Source organism: Homo sapiens, chromosome 16, assembly GCF_000001405.40.
Source record: "Homo sapiens chromosome 16, GRCh38.p14 Primary Assembly".
In the NCBI taxonomy this organism is placed as follows: Eukaryota; Metazoa; Chordata; class Mammalia; order Primates; family Hominidae; genus Homo; species Homo sapiens.
Genome location: NC_000016.10, coordinates 21,569,420 through 21,573,161, shown reverse-complemented (window position 1 = coordinate 21,573,161; position 3,742 = coordinate 21,569,420).

The following is a 3,742-nucleotide window of genomic DNA, read 5'->3' as shown; positions in this document are numbered from 1 at the left end:
CTGGGTTTGGGTGATCCTCCCACTCACCCTCTTGAGTAGCTGGGACTACAGGCATGGACCACCATGCCTGGCCAATTTTTTGTATTATTATTTCTTTTTGTAGAGACTGGGTTTAGTAATTTTGCCCAGGCTGGTCTTGACCTCCTGGCCTCAAGCAGATTTGCCCACCTCAGCCTTCCAGTGCTGAAATTACAGGCGTAGGCACCATGCTGACCTCTTACTTTTTTGATAATAGCCATTTCTTTTTAAGACGGAGTCTTGCTCTGCCACCTAGGCTGGAGTGCAGTGGCATGAGCTTGGCTCACTGCAATCTCTGCCTCCTTAGTTCAAGCGATTCCTCTGCCTCAGCCTCCTGAGTAGCTGGGATTACAGCATCTGCCACTACACCCAGCTAATTTTTTGTATTTTAGTAGAGACAGGGTTTCACTATGTTGGCCAGGATGGTCTCAATCTCCTGACCTCATGATCCGCCTGCCTTGGCCTCCCAAAGTGTTGGGATTACAGGCGTGAGCCACTGCGCCCAGCCAAAATAGCCGTTCTAATAGGTGTGACGTGATACCTCATTGTGGACTTATTTATTTATTTATTTATTTATTTATTTATTTATTTATTTATTTTTGAGATGGAGTCTTTCTCTGTCACCCAGGCTGGAGTACAATGGCATGATCTCGGCTCATGCAACCTCCACCTCCCGGGTTCAAGCAATTCTCCTGCCTCAGCCTCCTGAATAGCTGGGATTACAGGTGCCCGCCACCACGCCTGGCTAATTTTTATATTTTTAGTAGACACGGGGGTTTCACCACATTGGCCAGGCTGGTCTAGAACTCCTGACCTCAGTTGATCCGCCTGCCCTCAGCCTACCAAAGTGCTGGGATTATAGGCATGAGCCACCACACCTGGCCTCCATTGTGGTTTTAATTTGTATTTCCTTGATAATTAGCGATGTGGAACATTTTTTTCATATATCTGTTGGCCATTCATATGTCTTCTGTTGAGAAATAGAAAATCTGTTCACATCCTTTGCTCATTTTTTAGTCATGTTTTCTCACTATTGAGTTCTTTTGAGTTCCTTATATATTGTGGATATTAGCCCCTTGTCAGATATATAGTTTGCAAATATTTTACCCTACTCTGTGGATTGTCTCTTCACTTTGTTAATTATTTCCTTTGCTGTGCAGAAGCTCTTTAGTTTGACCTAATCTCTTTTGTCTATTTTTGCTTTAGCTGCTTATGCTTTTGGAGTCCTACCCAAGAAATAATTGACCAGACCAATGTTCTGCAGCTTTCTCTTTTGTTTTTTTCTGGCAGTTTTACAGTTTCAGGCTTTATGTTTAAGTTGTTACTTCATTTTGAGTTGATTTTTATATACGGTGAGAGCTAAGGGTTTAATTTCTGGGGTTTTTTTGTTTGTTTGTTTGTTTTTGAGACAGAGTCTCCCTCTGTCACCAGGCTGGAGTGCAGTAGCGTGATCTTGGCTCACTGCAACCTCTGCCTCCTGGGTTCAAGTGATTCTCCTGCCTCAGCCTCCCGAGTAGCTGGGACTACAAACATGCACCACCACGCCCGGCTAATTTTTGTATTGTTAGTAGAGACGAGGTTTCACCATGTTGGCCAGGATGCTCTCGATCTCTTGACCTCATGATCTGCCCGCCTCAGCCTCCCAAAGTGTTAGGATTACAGGCATGAGCCACTGTGCCTGGCCAAAGGGTCCAATTTCATTCTGGATGTGGATATCCAGTTTTCCCGTCACCATTTATTGAAGAGACTGTCCTTTCCCTGTTGTGTGTTCATGACACCTTTGTTGAAAATCAATTGACTGTAAATGCCTGTGTTTTTTTCTGGGCTTTCTATCCTATTCCATTGGTCTGGGGTTTTGTTGTTGTTGTTGTTGTTGTTGTTTGTTTTTCATTTTTGTTTTTGTTTTTGTTTTTTTGAGATGGCGTTTTTGCTCTTGTTGCCCAGGCTGGAGTGCAATGGCATGATCTCTGCTCACTGCAACCTCCATCTCCCAGGTTCAAGCAATTCTCCTGCCTCGGCCTCCCCAGTAGCTGGGATTACAGGCATGCACCACCACACCTGGCTAATTTTTTGTATGTTTATTAGAGATGGGGTTTCACCACGTTGGCCAGGCTGGTCTCAAACTCCTGACCTCAGGTGATCCACCCACCTCGGCCTCCCAAAGTGTTGGGATTATAGGTGTGAACCACAGCACCCAGCCCACTGGTCTGTTTTTATGTCAGCACGATGCTGTCTTGATTACAATAGTTTATAATTTATTTTGAAATCACGTTGTGTGGTGACCTTCTCCGCTATAAAATCACAGGTGAATCTACAGATGATGATGATGCAGCATTAATGAAAAACAAAAAACTGTTGTCTCACTAATAAAATTGGTCAGAGAAGCAACATGAGGTTTAAAAAATAAAAGGGGCTGGGCATGGTGGCTCATGCCTATAATGCCAGCACTTTGTGATGCTGAGGTGGGAGGATCTCTTGAACCCGGGAAATTGAGGCTGCAGTGAGCTGTGATCGCACCACTGCACTCCAGCCTGGGCAACAGCACGAGACCTTGTCTCTGAAAAATAAATTAATAAAATAAAAATTTTAAAAATAGAAGAATAATTTTAAAAAATTAGCCAGTTGTGGTGGCACACCCCTGTGGTCCCAGCTACTCGGGAGGCTGAGGCATGAAAACTGCTTCAACCTGGGAGGCAGAGGTTGCGGTGAGCCAAGATTGTGCCACTGCACTCTAGCCTGGGTGACAGAGCAAGACTCTTTCTCAAAAAAATAAAAAATAGGGTGGGTGCAGTGGCTCATGCCTGTAATCCCAGCACTTTGAGAGGCCAAGGTGGGTGGATCACCTGAGGTCAGGAGTTCAAAACCAGCCTGGCCAACATGGTGAAACCCCGTCTCTACTAAGAATACAAAAATTAGCCAGGCGTAGTGGCCGGCACCTGTAATCCCAGCTACTCGGGAGGCTGAGACAGGAGAATTGCTTGAACCTGGGAGGCGGAGGTTGAAGTGAGACAAGATCTCGCCATTGTACTCCAGCCTGGGCCACAAGAGTGAAACTCTGTCTCAAAATAAATAAATAATAAAAAAATAAATAAAATAAAAGGAAGTGGCATGCACAGCCCATGTGGTTGGTTTTCCCAGTGGGCTCTGGGAAACCCAAACCAATCCACATATGGAAATTCATTGATGAAGAGTTACAGCTGTGTCCAAGCTACAAGACTGCTTGGAAATAGCCAACGGACAGGCCTTACACCTGATATTTAACTTTCTAATTTAGAGTCAAAAAGCTCTAAAACTTGTAGGATTTCTTTTTTGTTTTATTTGCTTTGTTTTCTAAACAAATTAGAGGTTAAAATGAACAGTTTTGCCTTCTGGTACGATGTAAACTCTATAAGAACAAACACTTGAAGTTTTGTTTGAATCCCATAACAGCCGGTGTTGGCCTTGAAGAGTCCCCATGTAGTCTGTCTTGTTTCTGACTGAAAATGGGCTCCACGCCAGAATATGAATTATTGCAATGCCCAGTGGGACCAGGCAAATCAAACTAAACATAGCATCATGAAGATCTAAAACTGCACTAGGGGGGAAAGAAGATAGAGAACATAGTTTCTCCAATGGCTTCTTATTAATTCAAATTTGTTTAACAAAGGATTCGGAAAAGTTTTATCTATGAAACCATTTAAAAAGTAAGAGATTTTGGCCAGGCACAGTGGCTCATGCCTGTAAT